At 44.4% G+C, this 19,634-nt stretch overlaps 1 long non-coding RNA gene across 1 annotated transcript, besides 3 other annotated features; it reads right to left on the minus strand.

Annotated features, from left to right (window-relative positions):
• Window positions 1–5,622: 5,622 nt before the first annotated feature.
• Window positions 5,623–8,903, minus strand: LOC124902507 (uncharacterized). Its single transcript, XR_007062296.1, has 2 exons — window positions 7,727–8,903; window positions 5,623–5,943 (listed from the first exon to the last, which is right to left on the minus strand). It is a non-coding gene; the product is annotated as an uncharacterized LOC124902507 (long non-coding RNA).
• Window positions 6,925–7,425: an enhancer, noted in NCBI's record as "H3K4me1 hESC enhancer chr10:115718423-115718923 (GRCh37/hg19 assembly coordinates)". NCBI's record gives its function as "activates a minimal SCP1, AML or CMV promoter by ChIP-STARR-seq in naive H9 embryonic stem cells {active_cell/tissue: H9 hESC(naive)}" and the evidence as "EXISTENCE:reporter gene assay evidence [ECO:0000049][PMID:30033119]".
• Window positions 8,902–9,191: an enhancer, noted in NCBI's record as "active region_4074". NCBI's record gives its function as "activates an Ori minimal core promoter by ATAC-STARR-seq in GM12878 lymphoblastoid cells {active_cell/tissue: GM12878}" and the evidence as "EXISTENCE:reporter gene assay evidence [ECO:0000049][PMID:35858748]".
• Window positions 19,192–19,251: an enhancer, noted in NCBI's record as "active region_4075". NCBI's record gives its function as "activates an Ori minimal core promoter by ATAC-STARR-seq in GM12878 lymphoblastoid cells {active_cell/tissue: GM12878}" and the evidence as "EXISTENCE:reporter gene assay evidence [ECO:0000049][PMID:35858748]".

Here is a 19,634-nt window from a genome sequence, read left to right on the forward strand (position 1 = left end):
TGCCTTGGCCTCCCAAAGTGCTGAGATTATAGGCATGAGCTACCACGCCTGGCCGGAATGCTGCAGAAAATAATTGTGATGAATGGAGAGGGAAGAGTGATCACAGGAGCCTGGTGGAAATGAAGTCTTTATGAGGGACACCTGTATTCGTCTGTGCAGGCTGCCATAACAAAATACCACAGACAGGGTAACTTAAACAACAGAAGTTTATTTTCTCTCAGTTCTCGAGGTTGGAAGTCCACGTTCAAGGTGTATCTTTGATTTCTCCTGAAATCAGTCTTTCCTTGGCTTTCCTGGTCTGTGCAACCGCATCACTGGTGTCTCTCTGTGAGTCTAAATTTCCTCTTTTTATAAAGACACCAGTCAGATTGGATTAGAGGCCACCCTAACAGCTGCATTTTAACTTATCACCCCCTTACAGGCCCTATCTCCAAATGCAGTCACATTCTGAGGTACCGGGCATTAGGGCTTCAATATGTGAACCTGGTGGGACACAATTTAGTCCTTAACACACCCATCCTAAATGATTCCCTTGAGAGGCTGAGCGGCAGGGAAGCTGGGAAGATGATTATTCTTCAACTGCCAGCAGGTGTTGGTGGAGAGATGCTTGTCGAACCGAGGAGGGGAGGCGTTAATTCCCTGGCATTTCCAGCCAAAGGCCACAAACTTCATGCCTGAGGAGGTAAGTATGGGCAACTCCAGCTGAGACAGCAGTCAAAGATTTTTATCTGGAGCCCAAAAGTCCCTGTAGGGATGTTTTTGGAGGAAAAGTGAGGTACCAAGTTAGAAGAGTCAGAATGCAAGAAATTATTTCCTCCTTGGCTAAGAAATTAGACTTGACCCTATAGATAGTGGGGAATCATTAGACACTATTTATATAATACTTGCATAACTTCCCTGATTTTTGTTTTGCTTTGTTTTGTTTTTAACTCCAGGGACTAAAAGTGACTGTTCTATGTGAGACTATAGAAGTGTTGTTGCTTATGAACACGGAGCATTTAAATAAAGATAATCTTGGCAAACAAGTCTTGGGGTTGAAATAAAAGATAGCCTTTGTTCTGCCAAATAAAAATATCACAAAATTGACATAAACACTGCTCCGCTTCACTGTACTTACACAGCCAAAGCAAAAACTCAAGTCCGTTATCCACATAATTCTGTTTTATTTATGGAGATTTTGGCTTTACTGGAGGATGCCTACCTAGTCTTACTCTCTTCCAGAAAATAATTAAATCCTGAGCCATCTAAATGCTAGAGGTAAAATGAACATTCTTTCTAGAATTTTCTTCTTTAAAATATGGCGTTCTCGTATTGTACAGACTGTCCAATTCTTTCTTAACCTTTGACTTCCTCTGCTCCCCCTAAGAGTTGCCAAGTTCCCCACCAAAGATCCCGAGAGGAAGGTAGTGACAAGAAAACTCTCAATGGGCTGTGATGGAGCCTGCTTTTCCTATTGAAATAGAGATTTTAGGTCAGGGAACCAAACAAAAAACTAAAACAAAACAAACTCATCGAAATGCAGGCCCCTAGATTAAGACTAACACTACTTAACTTTTAATTTAAAAGAGAGATGGAACAGAATGCCATTGGCTTCCCAGAAAAAGTGGCACTGTTCCCTACTAAGGCAAAATAGATTTAATTTGCCTTCTATTTTAAGACTTGGCCCCATCTTCTGTCCCTACCCTTGTTGTCCTGTTACCTCGTCTGTCTTCCAAACTAGTGCTTTTATCTTTGCAAGCCACCTTAATTCCTTTTTGGAACAAGACACAAATACAGACTCACGTACCCCAAGAAATAATATTTGAGGGCCCTTGTTGATGGTGCCACTAAGGCTTTTCTTCTTTCCCCCATTTTGTCTCCTGAAAGGCTGGAGTGTGGGAAAGGAAACAGCCCAGTCTTAATCATCTGTATTCATAACTGGGTGCTGGTGAAGGTGAAGTTCAGAAAGCATCCAACAGAGGGCCTATTATTTGCACCCTGGATAGTTACTATGTGTTTGTGTCCCCCAGAATTCATATGTGGAAGCCCTAAACGCCAATGTGGTATTAGGTAATTAGGTTTAGATGAAGTCATGAAAGTGAGCCCCAAGGTGGGATTAGTGCCCTTATAAGAAGAGGAAGACAAACCAGAGCTTCCTCTTTCTGCCATGTGAGGATATGTTGAGAAGGAAGCTGTCTGCTGGCCAGGAAGAGAGCCCTCACCAGAAACACAATCTGCCCATACCTTGATTTTGGACTTCCCAGCCTCCAGAACTGTAAGAAATAAATATCTGTTGTTTAAGCTGGGCAGTCTATGGTATTTTGTTTTAGCAGCCCAAGCTGGCTTAAGACCTCCAGGGATTGCATCAGCCCAGACTTGAAGGTAAAGCAGCAAACCTCCAGGGAGTCTTCCCTCTGAGCTACCTGGCAAGTCATGTGCATGGGCCACAACAGCACTAATGCATTTCCATCAGCTCTCTGCTGAGTGCCTGAACTTGTGTAGCCTTGGCCAGCCTTGAGGATTCCAGAGCCTTGGCTTAGCAATTTCTTTCTCCCTTATGAGAACTGGAAACACCAGTCTTTACGTCCCTGATGCTCACCCCAGAGTTTCTTACACTCATAGCATTTGGTGGAGCTTCACAGAGTAAAATTTTTCTCCTGTGCATTCTCTTGGGAGCTGGCCTTTTCTCTTACTGCTAATGTGATAGTTTCCATAAAATTTCACTATGTGCCATCTCTCTAAATTTATGGCTAATTTACTTTTCTTCTATCTCATTCAATGAAAAGCAGTCACAATAAATTACACATTGCGTTTTTTAGCTGGGCAGACATTCCAAGTTGACAACAATATGTTAATTACAGAAGCTTGTCCTGTTCATCTAAATGAAGACCAATAAGACTTAATTGCCTGAACTGGGGAGATGGGGGGTGAGTCTAAAACCTGTGTCATTGCCAAGATATTTGCTGCCTACTAAGCAAGCTGATCATGTTTCCCTGAAGCAATTTACACAGAGCACAGTGGAGCAGAGTTAGGACAATTATTCTGAAATTAATCTACATGAAAACCTACATAAACTAGCTTGACATTTGGATTGTGATCAAAACACAATTTGACTTTTCCTCTCTTGGTGTCTTCAAGTTTTATCCAGTGAGGGTGATCTTCGCTGGCACCTGCATCACTCAGGCCTTCCTGCAGTCTCTTGAAGGCCCAAACATAGTCTCAATTCAGTAAAAGGAATGTCTTCCCTCCCTCCCCAGGGTGGAACTATTTTTGGGTGGGAAGCATGATGGGTTCTTCTGATCTTTACTCTCTTCCTGACTGCTTGCCAGGTGGAGGGTCAAAGGGCATCAGAGAAAGAGAAGCAGAGGCAGAAGACAGTTCCTATTGCAATGGGGCATCCCAAGTTGGGCCCTGCTCCCGTTTCTGGCAGACTGTTAAGGCTGATGCTCTTGCAGGGCCTTTTCAGAAATCCCCCGCTGGCCCCTCTCCCCTGTGAGGGGGAGTTCCCTTGATGGGGCAAATACATCTCCATCCCCAATGGCCCCCTCGTCAACCTGAGACACTTCCAGGTTACCCCCCAGTGTCCCACAGCTGGGGCCTCCTGGACCAGACACATCATGGTCTCTTAGTCCATTCCTGCTGTTATTAACACAATACCACAGAGTGGGTAATTGATCAGCAATGATAATTTATATCCTACAATTTTGAAGGCTGGGAAGCCCAAGATCAAGGCCCTAGTGGGTTTATGTCTGGTGGGGGCTGTCCTCTGCTTCCAAGATGGCACCTTGTCTCTTCGTCCTTTGGAGGGGACGAATGCTCTGTCCCCGACAGAAGGGCTGAAGGGCAAAAAGGGGGGCCTAACTAGTTCCCTTCAGCCCTTTTATAAGGCACTAATCACATCCTTGAGGGGTGGAGCCTCATGGCCTAATCGTCTCCTAAAGGCACCACCTCTCTCAATACTGTTGCTTTGGGGATGAAGTTTCAACATGAATTTGGAGGCACACAAATATTCAGACCATAGTAGCCCTACAGCTGCCTTCCTGCTCCCGCAGATGTGGGGAGCAGGGAATCCCCAGTCCAGCAGCTCCCTAGCACCTCCAAAACACTTAGTCCTCTCCGGCCTTCAGATTTTTTTCACAGCACTTAGACCCCAGTCCATGGAGACAGAGGCCAGCCTTCAGGGTCTCCCAATGGCATTAACACATTGTCAAAGCTCTCAAGGCTCCTCTGGAAATCTTCCTGGATTACACTCTGGGGAGGGGTAGGCGGGACTCACAGCACAGCCCCGTGTTGCACTATCACAGCTCACTGCAGTCTCAAACTCCTGGGTTCAAGCCATTCTCTGCCTCTGTCTCCAGCTTAGACGGGACTACAGGTGTGTGCTATCGAGAACTAAGTCTCTAAAAGTAGGATTTCAGATAACAGCTGTTGTCTGGTAAGGGAGAGTTCCTTCACAGCAGCCCTTTCGATGTCTGCCACAGGGCCAGGCATGGTGCAATCCCAGCACTTTGAGAAGTCAAAGCGGGAGGATCACTCTTCTATATCCTGCCTTGTCTTCCTTATCATCTTTCCCTGCTAACACAGAGATCTCTCTCATTTGTCTAATAGCTGGTTGTATTCCTTTGTTAGTTAATGTATTTATCAATTCCCTATTGAAGGCTTTGAAGCATTACTTTTTCTACAAGTGATATGGTTTGGCTGTGTCCCCACCCAAATCTCGTCTTGAACTGTGGCTCCCATAATTCCCATGTGTTGTGGGAGGGACCCAGTGGGAGACAATTGAATCATGGGGAGGTTTCCCCCATACTGTTCTCCTGGTAGTAAAAAAGTCTCACGAGATCTGATGGTTTTATAAGGGGAAACCCCTTTTGCTTGGTTCTCTCTCTTCCCTGCCACCCTTTAAGATGTGCCTTTTGCCTTCTGCCATGATTGTGAGGCCTCCCCAGGCACTTGGCACCGTGAGTCCATTAAACCTCTTTTTCTTTATAAATTACCCGAAGTCTGGTATGTCTTTATCAGCAGCGTGAAAACGGACTGATAACGACAAATCAATTTTTTTTTTTTTTGAGACAGTGTCTCACACTGTTACCCAGGCTGGAGTGCAGTCACATGGTCACAATCACGGCTCACTGCGGCCTCAACCTTCCGGGGTCAAGCAATCCTCCCACCTCAGCTTCCCAGGTAGTGGGGATTACAAGCACATGCCACCATGCCTGGCTAATTTTTTGTGCTTTGGATGGGGAAAGAGTTAACATCTGAGAAGATAAAAGTAGAATCTGAAAGGAGGGAAGCAACAGAGAATCTGGAAATGTGGCAGGGCCAGGGCAGGGTTGGGTTTGGAGTGGGAGGCGTGTGGAGACAGGTTTGGGAACAGCCTCAGTAGGGGAGAAGTTGGAATCTGGAAGAATTTGGAAACAGGTTTCTGAAGGGCTTCAGGGCCTTTATGCTTTTTTTTGCTTATTTCTTTTTGAGCCTTTCTCTTAGGTTTGGGAGTTTGCCAAAGGAATGTGCTCTGCAAGTAAGTCAACAAATAGTTCCCGAGGATCTGCTCTATGAAAAGCCCAAATTGTCTTTGAAAAGCATGCACTGTTTAAAAATGTTATACTGTGGTAAAACATACATAACATAAAATTTGCCATCGACTATTTTTTGAGCAATATTTTTAATGATGCGTAATAGACGTACAGAGTTTCAGGGCTTCCATCAACCATTTTTAAGTGCACGGCTCAGTTGTGTTAAGTATAGTCACACTGTTATACAACCCATCTCCAAAGCGTTTCCATCACCATTGAACAACAGTTCTCCATTTTCCTCCCCCTGGACCCCGGCAACCGCCTTCTAGCTTCTGTTTCTATGAGTTTGGTTACTCTAGATACCTCATGGAAGTGGGGTCATTCAGTCGTTGTCTTCGTGTTGCAGAGCAAGCATTTTTAAGTCCTGCTATGTGTCCATCACTGTGTATGACTCCGAAATAGAAAAGGAGGATCGTTAAAAATGGATCTTTTTTTCACTACCACTGTGATCAGCAAAACTGGGAAAAGGGCAGACCTTGGCTGTGGCCTCTCACATTGCCCCAGTCCATGGCATGAGCGTCTCACCCAAACTTCTATTCTGGCCCTAACTTTCCTCCCTGCCCCCATCCAATGCTGCCTGGACCAGCTGTCACACTGGACTCTGGGACAAATTAATTCACGTGAAACTGCTAATGGCTGACACAGTAATAAGTCAGATTGTGTTTCAACATAAAGATTTAAATCTCTTTTTAACAAAAATATAGAGAAGGGGGTCTCACTATGTTGCTCAGGCTGGTCTCAAACTCCTGGGCTCAAGTGATCCTCCTGCCTCAGTCTCCCAAGTAGCTAGAACTATAGTTGTGTGCCACCAAGAACTAAATCTCTAAAACTGGAACTTCAGATGACAGCAGTAGCCTGGTAAGGGAGAGCCCGTTCACAGTAGTCCTTTAGGTGTCTGCACAAAGCAAATGGGTTTCTCTCTGCCCATCATTGTAAGCCTGTGACCCTTGGGACAAAACACTTTGCCTCATAGGTGCATCCTAGGAAGAATCCATCCTACTAAAGTTGCCATCAACTGGCAGAGCACTCAACTGGCAGTGGTGTGACCTGCTGTCTCCCTGCTCTGTGCTGGAGTGGAGCCTCTGTGATCTGCCTCTGCCACAGGCAAAGTTCTCAGGGAAACTAGAGAAACTGGACTGACTTGGGGGAACCATTTATGACACCAGGTAAAAGACCATGGAATCCAGGCTCTTCAGGGCCATCGCTGTAGGGGCCTACTTCCTGTCTTAGTTCAGGTTCTAGAAGCAGAGCCTAAGACAGGGATTCCGGGGCATGTGATTTCTCCAGGGAGCGCCCTTCAGGAAAAACCTCCACGAGCATTAGGGAAGGACGGGCCAAGCAAGGATGGATCTTGGGTAAAGCCGAGCTGTGACCTGAGGCCCAAGGGCCGCTGGGGCATTTCCACAGGGCAGTCACACCGTCCTTCAGAGAAGGGGGCTGGCCTTTGTGCCTCCTCAACAGTTAGCCTCTGGCTGCAGTAGCAGGGCTAACCTCCCAGGTCACAGCAGCTTGGGACAAAGTCCCTGCCTGGTAAAAGATCTGGCTGGTTCTTTCAGGGGAACGTAACATCTGCATGACTCATGCGTGCAAACCACCCACACGCTAGGAATCTGAAGTGGTTGCTCCTAGAAACAGAAATAAACGACCATCCAGTGATGAAGAGTTTTCCCCAGCAAAGAGACAACTCCAGGGAAGAGCTTTCCAGTGTGAGTACAGAGATTGTGGTTTAAGGTAACTAATGATTTGCATAAAGCCAACTTCCATATTACCTGACACATGGTAAAATATGGACACAGTGCTTTTTGAGAGGTAGAGAAAAATAACTCAGTACACAACTTTACTGCCTGTAAAACCCAACACCAGAAAATTCCCTCCAATAAGAATCGGCACCAGACAGGCGTTGAAATATTTAGCATCTTCTGAGATGTAATTACTACTCCGCTGTGTGCATCTGTGTTTGCTGTCCCCTCCGAATGGAACAGGATGTGATTTCACTGAATTGGCAGATTTATCCACCTGGCTTTTGAGCAGTTGGTCATTTTTCAGCCTGGTGGTGAATGCCTTTCCCCATACCCCCAGCACACAGGCAGGCACCCTCCGCCCCCAGCTCCCAAATCCAAGAGAAAAACTCAAAGAGAACTCAACCGAGGGTGGATGGTTTTTCTGTCAGTTACCTGCTTTCTGTTCCTTCCAGAACCTACAACGGCCGTGACACTGGGGGCAGATCAGGAGTCTATAAATGACATATGACTAAGAAGCAGAGGGATACCAGCTGCTTATTGACAAAATGGGTGGCTCCCAGTGAGGCGTGGAAGGACAGAACTGGCCCAGACCAGCTGGGAGGCCTTGGCACATACAACAGAGCCTGCTGGGTCACAGCACAGCCATTGTCATCCTGTGAAACGTGAACCTGACCTTCTACCCAACAAGTTAATATCTCATATGGGTTTCTCCTTGGTTTCTTGCAGGATTTATACTTATCAAGGTAGCACTGATTTCAAGGAAGTAGCTTCTCTGTTTCTTTATGGCTGAATACTGTGTCAACTAGTGGTTTGCCCAACCCAGAAATTCAGGGTGATGAGACTGTGCCCTTTAGGGTGGGGTGCACCCTTCAAACTCCTGCATCTTGTGGGCAGATGGGCTTCAGTCCCAAGGAGTTAGCCTCTTTGGGGTACACATCCGGTGCTGGGGCCAGGGAAAGAATCCAGGTTCCCTAATCACACGAAAAAGGTACCTCCTCCTCTGCCAAAGTTCACTGTCAACTCTGTCCCAGGGTCCCAATAGCGCTAACATAAGCCCCCCTCCACCAGTGTAGAATGGTGGGTCATAAGGTGCTGGCAGGGATGTGGAGATCAGCCAGCTCAGGAGGCTTCACACTGGCTTTGGCTTACAGTCTTTAAATAAAAGTAAAATGTAAAGATGAGGCAGCTCAGGTCAGTGCAGAGGGGAGACCTGACTCCTGCTCACTCACCCACCCCCGTCCACAGGCCCCAGGGGAGCTCCGTGGGTGCCCCTGGAATCCCTCAGCACTTTGGAAAGCACTGAGCCAATGCAATCCTCCTTCTGCACACGGAGAGACTCAGACCTGAAAGGGAAAGCCACGGGGGGTGGGTCCTGGGTCCTTCTCGCCACCCTATGCAGTTGGCCTCCTGGCCCGCACGCTTCAGAAGGCTCCTGTTGGAGCCCTGTCCCTTCCCCAGGTCAAGTCCTCTCCCTGGTCACTGCTCCACACCAAGTGCCAGGCCTGGTTTTTATTGTTCTCAGACTCAGTTCCTGCCTCTTTATCCCCATAAGCCCAAGGCCCCCTGCAAGCCCTTTTCCCCACCTGTGTGTGTTCTGCAAGGGAGGCACCTGAGCTGGGGCAGCGACTATTTACCTTGTTGAGGCAAAGGACAAGCGTGACTTCCTTTGTTTGATGTTGCTACGTTATTAGAAAAAATAAAACCACAGGCCCAACAAAGAGGTTTCAGATATGACTGGATGGCACCATCTCCCAGGGCCATGGGGGTTGAGGCCAGAGCCCAGGCTAGGTGATGAGAACCACCAGGACACAAAGACAGCAGACTCTGTGATGTCGACACAGAAAAATGACAAGGGGATGACGTCACTCTCCTGGAAGCTTCGGAGTCCACCTGCCTCCCTAACGAGGCATTTCTTAAGGCCTGAAATGGCTAAGGCCTCACCCCGCTGAGTCCTTCCTTTTCTTACGTCCTGTGCTCTCTCTTCGCTTCCCCGCCCTCTGCTCTCCACCTTTGCCCTGTCACTTGTTTCCCTGCTCCCTGCTCCTTGCACCCACTCCTTCTGTCTGTATCTGGCCTCCACATGTCTATTCTCTGCCTTTTCTTGTTGCCTGTCTTTTCCTTCTGTGCTTCTATCCTGCCCTTCTTTCTGTTTCTCCTTTAGCTGTGTGCATGAACACACTTACTTGCACACAAGCACATACAATGCAGGTATGCACATGCGTACACAATCCCACACAAGTTTACACTCAGAGAACTACACACAACCACACGCAGAAGCATGTGCACATGCATGCCCACATGCACACACAATGCATGTGTGCACACACACGATCATCCACAATCAAATACAGTCCCGCATAGACAATCTCATACAGCTTATGCTCACGCAGTCACACACACACACACACACACACACACACACACTCACTCACTCACCTCTCTCTAGACCAAGCTAAGTAAACTCAGAAGAGACCTGCTTTTAACCCACAGGCTTGTTGACGCCTCTTTGTACTAAGAGTGATTAGCAACCACAGGAGTGTCTCAGCTAATTAAATAAGTCTGAAGCCGGGGACCAAGAAGCTAGGAGTCCTCTTGTATAAAACTGGTTCCAGCCATGGCACCCCCTGGAAAGGAGCTTCCTGTCTCAGTCATTTGAGCAGGTGGCGACTTCAGCAGCTGCAGCTAGACTGCTAAGAGATGGGACTCCCCATAACTTTTGAAGACGGTTGTGGTTAGAGTTTGGAGGCCTACTTTGGTTTTGATCTTCGGAGACTGGGTTTAGAAAGGAAGCATTATTTTGAGAAGGGAGATCGTAATCACACTGGCTTTTTTGATTGACGTCTGCAGTCTGGCTTAAAGGGTTCCTTGGGAGAAATGCAGGGTTTGCTACTTAAGCTGAAAGCAGGCTGGTAGGTCTACCAGGTCAAAGAACAGAAACTAAGGGATTCTGAGTTTTCATCGTGGCCCTGCTGCTACAAATCAGCTGCTTGACGCAAAAGTCAACTGACTTCTCAAGGCCTCAAATGACCTAGTCTTACCATGTCAGTATCCTAATAGTCCATTGCCTAACTAAAAATTTTGTGCAGAAAATAATTGATCAGGGTTGAAAAGTAACAAACAGGAAGTTACAAACCATTCTTATTTCTTTTTAATGTATTTGAGGCAAACAGAATGGTTTAGGATTCCCTGTTAGATGGTAGTTTGAGGACATTTATTGTGAAGACAAGCAGACTTTCAACTAAAGTGACCATGGTGCCTGAGCACTTTATCAGGAAAAGTAGTCTGATAAGAATAAGGAAAGTAGGACAGAATCTAAAATTGGGAACTTTCCAGAGAATCTGCAATATGTGGTAGTTTTCTGAAATTCAGTCATCGCCAAGGGCAATGATGTAGTATTGGATAATAATTAGTGCCCAAAATAAGTTCTCCCACATATCACAAAAATGTTAAATAAAGTTTAATGTACTCCATTTAAGCAGAAAGGAATAATAAGAACATAATCTCTCTCTGTATATATGATGAAATATATATGGAGAGAAATATGGAGAGATATATGGAGTTATAATACATATATATGATTTAGACAGAATTTAATCTTCCTATGGATTAAAAATGTTCATCTGGCCGGGTGCGATGGTTCACACCTATAATCCCAGTGCTTTGGGAGGCTGAGGCAGGAATATCACTTGAGGCCCAGGGTTCTAGACCAGCCTGGGCAACATAGCAAGATCTCCATCTCTACACAAAAATAAAAAATTAGCTGAGAGAGATGGTGCACACCTGTAAGGCTGAGGCGAGAGGACCACTTGAGCCCAGGAGTTTGAGGCTGCAGTGAACTACTTCACATCACTGTACTCCAGCCTGGATGACAAAGTGAGACTCAGTGTCTCTCTCTCTCTCTCTCTCTCTATATATATATATATATGTATATATATATATATCTATCTTACAAAATGTTTAAAATAAAAAATGTTTGGGTCCTAAACAGGCAAACCCTCATCTCTGTGGAAAAACTCATATATCACCATGACATATTTTGCAAGAGTCCCAAGTAGCAGAGATTTCCCCATATGCAATTCATAAGCAATTCTCAAGTGCCTAGTAGCTGTGGGGAATTGGTTGCTTTTATATCTTTGAGGACACATCAGTCCAGACTATGGCAGGACATTAGTTGTCTCTTGCTACTGTAACAAATTACAACAAGCTTAGTGGTTTAAAATAACACACATTTATTATCTTACGGTTCCATAGGTCAGAAGGCTGAAATAGGTCCCACTGGGCTAAAATCAAGGTGTGGGCAGGACTGTGTTTCTCTATGGAGTTTCGAGGGAAGAAATTGGAAATTGTTTCCTTGCCCTTGTCAGCTTTTGGAAACCCCTCACATTCCTTGGCTCATAGCCCCTTCCTCCATCTTCAAAGCCATCAATGGCAGGTAAAGTCCTTCTCATGTTGCATCCATCTGACCCACAGTCATGTCTTCCTCTCTCCACAGCTGGGAAAGTTCCTCTCTTTTGAAGGATTCATAGGATTAGATTGGGCCCACTGAACAATCAAGGATAATCTCCCCATCTCACAGTCCTTAAAATAAATCATATTTGCAAAATCCCTTTTGCCATGTGAGGTAACATATTCACAGGTTCCGGACATTAGGAGGTGGGCATCATTCTGGTGCCATTATCTGCCGATCATAGTCAAGTAGAGGCCAGGATTCCAGACTTGGAATTAGCAGAGGTCAATGCAAGCTCAATTTAGCAATGGCAGCAAACTATCACACGACTATAGTAAGGCATGAAATTGCTCTGAATTTGTGCTTTCTCCCCCGGTCAAAAAAGAAAAAAGAAAAAAAAGAAAATAGGAGGTGTTCTCTACTTCATTAACTATGTCACAGAGCAATTTGAGGCTGTCACACTCCAAAAGCATGACACACAGTCCTAGGAGAAAGCCATTTGCAATGTCCTGGGGGAAGCAGGGCACAGAGCAAGCTCAGCACATGTCAGAGCCTGTCATGAACTACCAGCTTCAGACAAAATAGCTACCTGATCAGCATGTTGGGTTGACATCTTTGAGCAAGGCTCCAGGGCGCATTTCAGGAGACTTGGGCTCTAGCACAGTGACAGTAATGGAGAAGAAAACAAAGATGGTTGAAACCCTTGAGTCCCCGGATTCAAGTTATATATGATTTAGTGAAGGTGTCAAGGCACGTGCATAACTCAGATACATGGCAGGATGAAAAAGGCTGCAGCTTCGGGAGGAATGGGCTACAGGACTCGTGCCTATGGTCCATCCAGGTTACTGCCATGTCTCTGATAGAGACCCAGAGGAAAAGTTTTGGGATAGGTCAGCCAAACGGAAAGGCCAAGAACATCCCCTAAATGTGCCTACCTTCCCTCCAATAATCCATTATGGTTCTATCTTACATTAATTCCTTTAATCTCATTTTTAAAAACCTAATGCAATTGTATAGGCCTTTCAGACCCTGAAAGCATGCAAAGCAGATGTGGTACCTTTTTTATTTCTTTTCTTTTTTTAATAACATAGTAGTTTGTGAAATGCCTCTTCTCTTTTTTCCACTAGGGATCCTGATGGACTGGCTATCTACCTCCCCAGGATAAAAGCAGTGAGGCACCTGTTTTTTGAGCTTAATGTTGGCAAATGTGGCTAATACCCAACTGTCCGGGTGTTCATGAGGGGCTTAATATTCTTAGCAGTGTGCTTGTTCACCATGTTAGAACAAGATTTTTCAACATGGAGTTGTTATAGGGTTTTTGGTGTTTTGCTTTGGCATATTCAAATGGATGTAACAATATAAAAGAATATAAAAGTAAAGGCATAGTGAATAGTCTGTTGGGGGAAGGCAAGTGGGAGAGGAAGTATGGAGGAGGATGGAAATACCACAATCCTCACCTTACAAACAGAGAACCAAGAGTTGATATGGATAATTGATGGCACAAAAAACAGGGGTCTGGGTGTGCATTTGAAGTTGCAGAGATAGCTGGCGGAGGAACTCAGGGTCGTGCATTTAACAGGGAGAAGGGAGAGGAGAGAAGGCAATGGGGAGGAGGGTGAAGTGGCTGATGAGCTGTGGGGAGGTGGGGGATGGTGTCTCGGGGCCAAAGTCACATCTCTCAGGACAGGAAGTCAAAGACAATACCTGAAGTTGGTGAAATAAGAAGCAGTGGTATAAGCATGTCAGGGAAAGGTAGAGAAATAACCTCCAGAAACAAATAAACGGAAGTGATGAAATGCAGTTGGCTCAGGCAGCAGAACTGGGGTCAAAGAAGGCTGAGCAGAGGTTAGTTGCTATTCACTGAAGAGCCCTTCTAACCCAAATGATTTTCTAAAAGCCAATGTACATGTTTTAGCTGATGAAAAAATGTTGAGCAAGAAGAGTCCTTTTACTTTTATAATATTTTACTCTTTCAGAGAGGTTTAATTCTTTTTTTAATAAAAATGAGTTATAATTACAAATATTAGCTACATATATAGTATAGCTATCATATGTGGGGTGCGTGTGTATAAATATTAATTACTACATTGAGTTTTTATTCTTTGCGAACATTTTATTGTGAAAATACTCAAACACAAAAAAAGTTTAAAGGATTTTACAATAAACATCTACATACCCACTGCCTAGATTCCAGCACTAATATTTCATTATGATTGCTTCATTACCTATCTGACCATCTATCTATTCCTCCATCTGTGCATTCATCTTAGCTTTTTGAAAATACACATAGCATAAAATTTACCAGCTTAGCAATTTTCAAGTGGACAGCTCAATAGTGTCACATATATTCACATTGTTGTGCAATGGATCACCAGAACTTTTTCATCTTGCAAATCTAAAACGCTACATCCATTAAGCAAGTTCCCTTTTTCCTTCCCCTCCCCGCACAGCCCTGGGTAACCACCATTCAACTTTCTGTTTCTATAAATTTGACTACTTTAGATACCTCACGTAAGTGGAATCATACAGTATTTGTCTTTTTGTGACTGGTTTATATCACGTAGCATAATGTCCTCGAGGTTTATCCATGTTGTCTCAAATGAGAGGATGTCTTTCCTTTTTTTAAGTCTGAATAATAGTCCATTATATGCAGATACCAGATTTTCTTTTTCATCTGTCAGTAGACATTTGAGTTGCTTCCATATCTTGGCTCTTGTGAATAATGCTGCAGTGAACATGGGTGTGCAAATATCTCTTTGAGATCCTGTTTTCAATTCTTTTGGATATATACTCGAAAGTGGGATTGCTGGATCATATAGCAGTTCTAATTTTTAGTTTTTTGAGGAATGTTCATACTGTTTTTCATTTTATAATCCCATCAACAGTGCACAAAGATTCCAATTTTTCCACATTCTTATAAACGCTTTTTTCTGTTTGTTTGTTTTTTTAAAATAGTTGCCATTCTTGTGAGTGCAAAGTGATTATTACATTGATTTTTTTAAAGTTCATGTTAATCTTCTTCTAGGTAACTGAGCAAATAGGGTTCCCAGGAGAAACTGCAAAGCTGATGACTAGATTAGGCTACACTTTCCTTAGAAGTGGACGGTCTGTCACAGAGCTTTCAAGGCAAATCAGGGATGATGGAATTTCTCTTCATGGTAAATCTCATTCTTATTTCCTTGGTTAAATTGGTGTCACTTCATAGGTTGGTTGAAAAAGCCACAGGTTAGCCAACATTGCAGGTGCTAAGACAACTGTAATTCTATGTGTTAATGGTCAGATTATGAGCCAAGTTGAATATGTTGAATTTCTGATTGATTCTAAGCCAGTGGGCACCTTGCAGTGTCTGTGCCCGATTAAGGCTTTGTTCTCTAGGTGAAAACATCTTTCAGATGAAAGGCATATTGGCTTTTGAGACAAAGTTACCTCTTCAGGCTTCTGGAACTTTGACTCAATTTTCCTTAGATGGAAATGTTTGTCATTCTGCTTTACAGAAAGACATTCTCTTTTTGTTTCCGTTTCTGTGCAGAAGCCTATAGATCACCTTTTTAATTAACTCATGAAGAACCCAGGGACAGGAGTACACTCTGCCCTAATGGTATTATTGTAGATGGATCTAGTACTAAACATGACCTTGGGGTGTTTGTGAAGCTAGTGAAGAGATTAGCAAACAGAAATCTTAAGAACAATTTAATCCTTTTCTGCATAGCAGCATGGTAGTTGCTCTGCAAAGGCAATTCTCAAAACAAGCACAGTCACTTTCAGTACTGTGCTTGCATTCGGGGGCGGATTGAAAGGCTGAAACTGAACAAGTGTGTGGGAAAGCAGGTGATTACTGCTCCCCAAATACCGTGTGATGCGCCCGGTCACCCCTGACAAATCAGTAGCCAATTAATCCCACCATAATTGGTTGACCCTTGGCTAATCCCATTTCTAGATCATGTTTACTTGGCAGATCATGCCAGTCATCTAATTAGCATTCTTCAGGGTTATTCTACCCCCGCATGGACCGCTTTGGAATACCATATGCATGGTGATATTCAGTGAGAAGCGAGGTGTATGCGTATGGCACTCCTCTCCGTTTTGATTAGTAAACAAATTAAGTAATTGATGTTAGCTTAGATAACAGGGCACTTATCATGTTGGCCAGCTCTCTGCTAAGCACTTTGGCAGGCAAGATCTTACTTCATTCTCACCATCCTATGACAGAGGTACTGTTGTTATTCCCATTTCAAAGATGGGCAAAGGGAGGTTTAAGAGGAGTAAGTGACTTGCCGCAGGAGAGCTAGGATTCGAGCTAGGCCTATCTGAGTTTGAGTCGGAACAGAACTTTTTTTTTTTTTTTTTTTTTTTTCGAGACAGAATCTTGCTCTATAGCCCAGGCTGGAGTGCAATGGCATGATTTCAGTTCACTGCAACCTCTGCCTCCTGGGTTCAAATGATTCTCCTGAGTAGCTGGGATTGCAGACATGTGCCACCACACCTGGCTAATTTTTGTATTTTTTAGTAGAGATGGTGTTTCACCATGTTAGCCAGGCTGGTCTCGAGCTCCTGACCTCAGGGTAATCCGCCCGCCTTGGCCTCCCTAAGTGCTGGGATTACAGGCATGAGCTACTGCGCCCGGCCTTGAGCAGACCTTTTAACCACCATCTGAATTACCTTCCTTTGTGCTCCTGTGTTCTTAGAGCTACTCCCACTCCAGTGAGCTAGGATGTTGCTGTTAACTGTGTTGTGTGAATTGTAGCTCCCCGAGCTGACGGTATACTCTCCAGGAAAGGGACCGTTTTCTCTTCTTCACCTGTCCCACGCAGCCCCATCCTGGGTGCATGGTAACTATGTGGTGAATGCTTGGTAACTGATGAATGTGCCTACACAAGGTCCTGCCCTTTCACTTACCATACAAGGCTTCTCCGAGAAGCCAGCTCAGCTGCACGCAGCACACCAGCCATGGTGGACAACTCAGGCTCCAGTTATGCCTCTATCCACCAAATACAGAGTGGCCTTGGACAAGTGTCTCAGCCGCCCTGGGCCTTTTTCCTCTCTTGGGATTGGAGGATATTAGGCATCTGATCTTTCTCTGGAGGTTTCTTGCAATGGGATTTGCATTTATAAATATAGTTAACAAGGCATGACACTACTTGTGGCCCCAACAGTAAATAAGAGCCTGTCGCTGAAAACGGAGTTGCTGTGAGAAGAGCCATCAGCTACCAGGCGAGGCACCCACACCAGTGTTTCATAAGACATGGCAAAGCTCTTTCTTCCTTCTCCCATGTCGATCTTTGTGGATGTGCAGGATTTGGAAAGGCCTGATAAGAGAGGAGAGAGTGCTGCTCTATGTTGTGGTCTGATCTAAGCCAGCTTAAATGTTCACAGTCATTAAGTTGTTTTTTCGGGTACTGGTAGCTTCTAATAGTTTGAGGTAGGGGAGCGCTAAAGGTCTCTCACCCCAGAATCCAAAAGTCCCAGCCAAGTTCTGACACACAGACTAACTATTATAACCCAGCAGGCCCAAGACACAACAAAGAAATAAAACAGTCACCAACTATCGGTGAACCTGCCCCGATATTCACGTAGGTTCTTTTCTATTTTTCCTAAGCATCGGCCAGCTTGAGAAATAAAGGGACAGAGTACAAAAGAGAGAAATTTTAAAGGCGGGTGTCTGGGGGAGACATCACATGTCGGTAGGTTCCGTGATGCCCCACAAGTTGCAAAAACCAGCAAGTTTTTATTAGGGAGTTTCAAAAGGGGAGGGAGTGTGCGAATAGGTGTGGGTCACAGACATCAAGTACTTTACAAGGTAATGGAATACCACAAAGCAAGTGGAGGCAGGGTGAGATCACAGGACCACAGGACCAAGGTGAAATTAAAATTGCTAATGAAGTTTCGGGCACCATTGTCATTGATAACATCTTAATCAGGAGACAGGGTTTTTGAGATCAACTGGTCTGACCAAAATTTATTAGGTGGGAATTTCCTCTTCCTAGTAAGCCTGGGAGCGCTACGGGAGACTGGGGTCTATTTGACCCCTGCAGCCTCAACCATAAGAGGCAGGCGCACCTGGGGGAGCTGTTTATAAGCGTATACCTCCAGGCGTATATTCTCTTTCCCAGGGATGTTCCATGCTGAGAAAAAGAATTCAGCGATATTTCTCCCATTTGCTTTTGAAAGAAGAGAAATATGGCTCTGTTCCACCTGGCTCACTGGTGGTCAGAATTTAAGGTTATCTCTCTTATTCCCTGAACAATTGCTGTTATCCTGTTCTTTTTTCAAGGTGTCCATATTTCATATTGCTCAAACACACATGCTGTACAATTTGTGCAGTTAATGCAATTATTACAGGGTCCTGAGGCGATACACATCCTCCTCAGCTGACACGATTGAGAGATTAAAGACAGGCATAGGAAATCACAAGGGTATTGATTGGGGAAGTGATAAGTGTCCATGAAATCTTTACAATTTATGTTTAGAGATTGCAGTAAAGACAGGCATAAGGAATTCCAAAAGTATTAATTTGGGGAACTAATAAATGTCCATGAAATCTTCACAATCCACATTCTTCTGCCATGGCTTCAGCTGGTCCCTCCATTTGGGGTCCCTGACTTCCCACAACAACCAACCTACCTAGAAATTCCACAAGGTCCCAGCAATCTGCCTTTGGGCTCCATGAGTACCTGGCATAAAAGGTTCTCTTGAGGCAAATGCAAGAATATTCTACTGGCAAGTTTCAACCGTCTAGACACAGTCAAGATTCCTAGGCTAAACAATTAAGTGGATATTAGGCCCAAATGGTAACCCAGAAGGAATAAGCTGTCAAACTTCCTACATTCTTATATTTACGCAAGGGCAGAGGTGCCTGTACATTCTTTCTAGCCAACTAATTCTAATATCTTAAACACCACTCATTTCACCAATATAAATAAAAAGCATTTCTAAAAATCCCTATGCTAATTAATAAACTCTCTAGTATTGACTGATGATCAAAGTATTTGTATCTATCAAAGTCCTGGTGAAAAACAAACGTCATGCTCAAATGAGGTAATGGAAGAAAGTTTAATGAAGAGACTGTTGCAAAGGTATGGTCAGGTTTAAGATAAATTATCAAAGGATAGTCAAGCATCCTGGGCTAACAACTTTGAGAGCCTTTGCTACTCTCCTCCTAAGCTTAAAGGGACCAGATTAATATTGTGGTCTTTTCCTGTTACTTCCTCATTTTCCCACACTCAAGGTGTTTTTTCTAATAAAATTTGTGTAAGTTGACTCCTACCTTGGAGTCTGTTTGTTGGAGGATGGACTAACACAGCAACCACAAAGCCTTGGGGAAAACACCTCCCTTCACCAGGCCTCACTTTCCCCAATATAAAATAAGAAAGCTGACTCAGACATCTTCTGAAGTTCCATTCTGCTCCTAGTTTAGCTGAGCTAGAAGCTGGCCCAGACTGACTTTCAAGTTGGGGCTAGGCCCTGATGTCTGGGCTATCAGACTCTATGACACCTCATTCAGAAGATTCTACACCCTGATCTGCAGCAGAGTAAATGCTGAAGGCCTTTTGTCTTGTTACAAGATCTGTGCAGAGGCAATGGCCTGGCTCTTTCTATATTGTTTCTGTCACTCTTTCAAATGTGACCACTCACAGTACCCTGGACCACAAGTTAACCCATAGCCACCAAAGGTAATTGTGCATTTCTAGAAAACTCTATTAAAGCCTACAAGTTCCATCCTTGGAGGCACCCTCATCTTTACAAGTGCCTTCCAACTCATGGTCTGATCTCCTCCCTGACCCATGTTAAAGAACCAAAATAATTCTTGGGAAAACTGCGATTTTTGCTCAATGGGAGACTTAATTTTTTTCTTTCTGGGAAACGTAGATTATTCCTTTCTGCTTCCAGAACAAA

This window comes from Homo sapiens, chromosome 10, assembly GCF_000001405.40.
Source record: "Homo sapiens chromosome 10, GRCh38.p14 Primary Assembly".
NCBI classification, from domain to species: domain Eukaryota; kingdom Metazoa; phylum Chordata; class Mammalia; order Primates; family Hominidae; genus Homo; species Homo sapiens.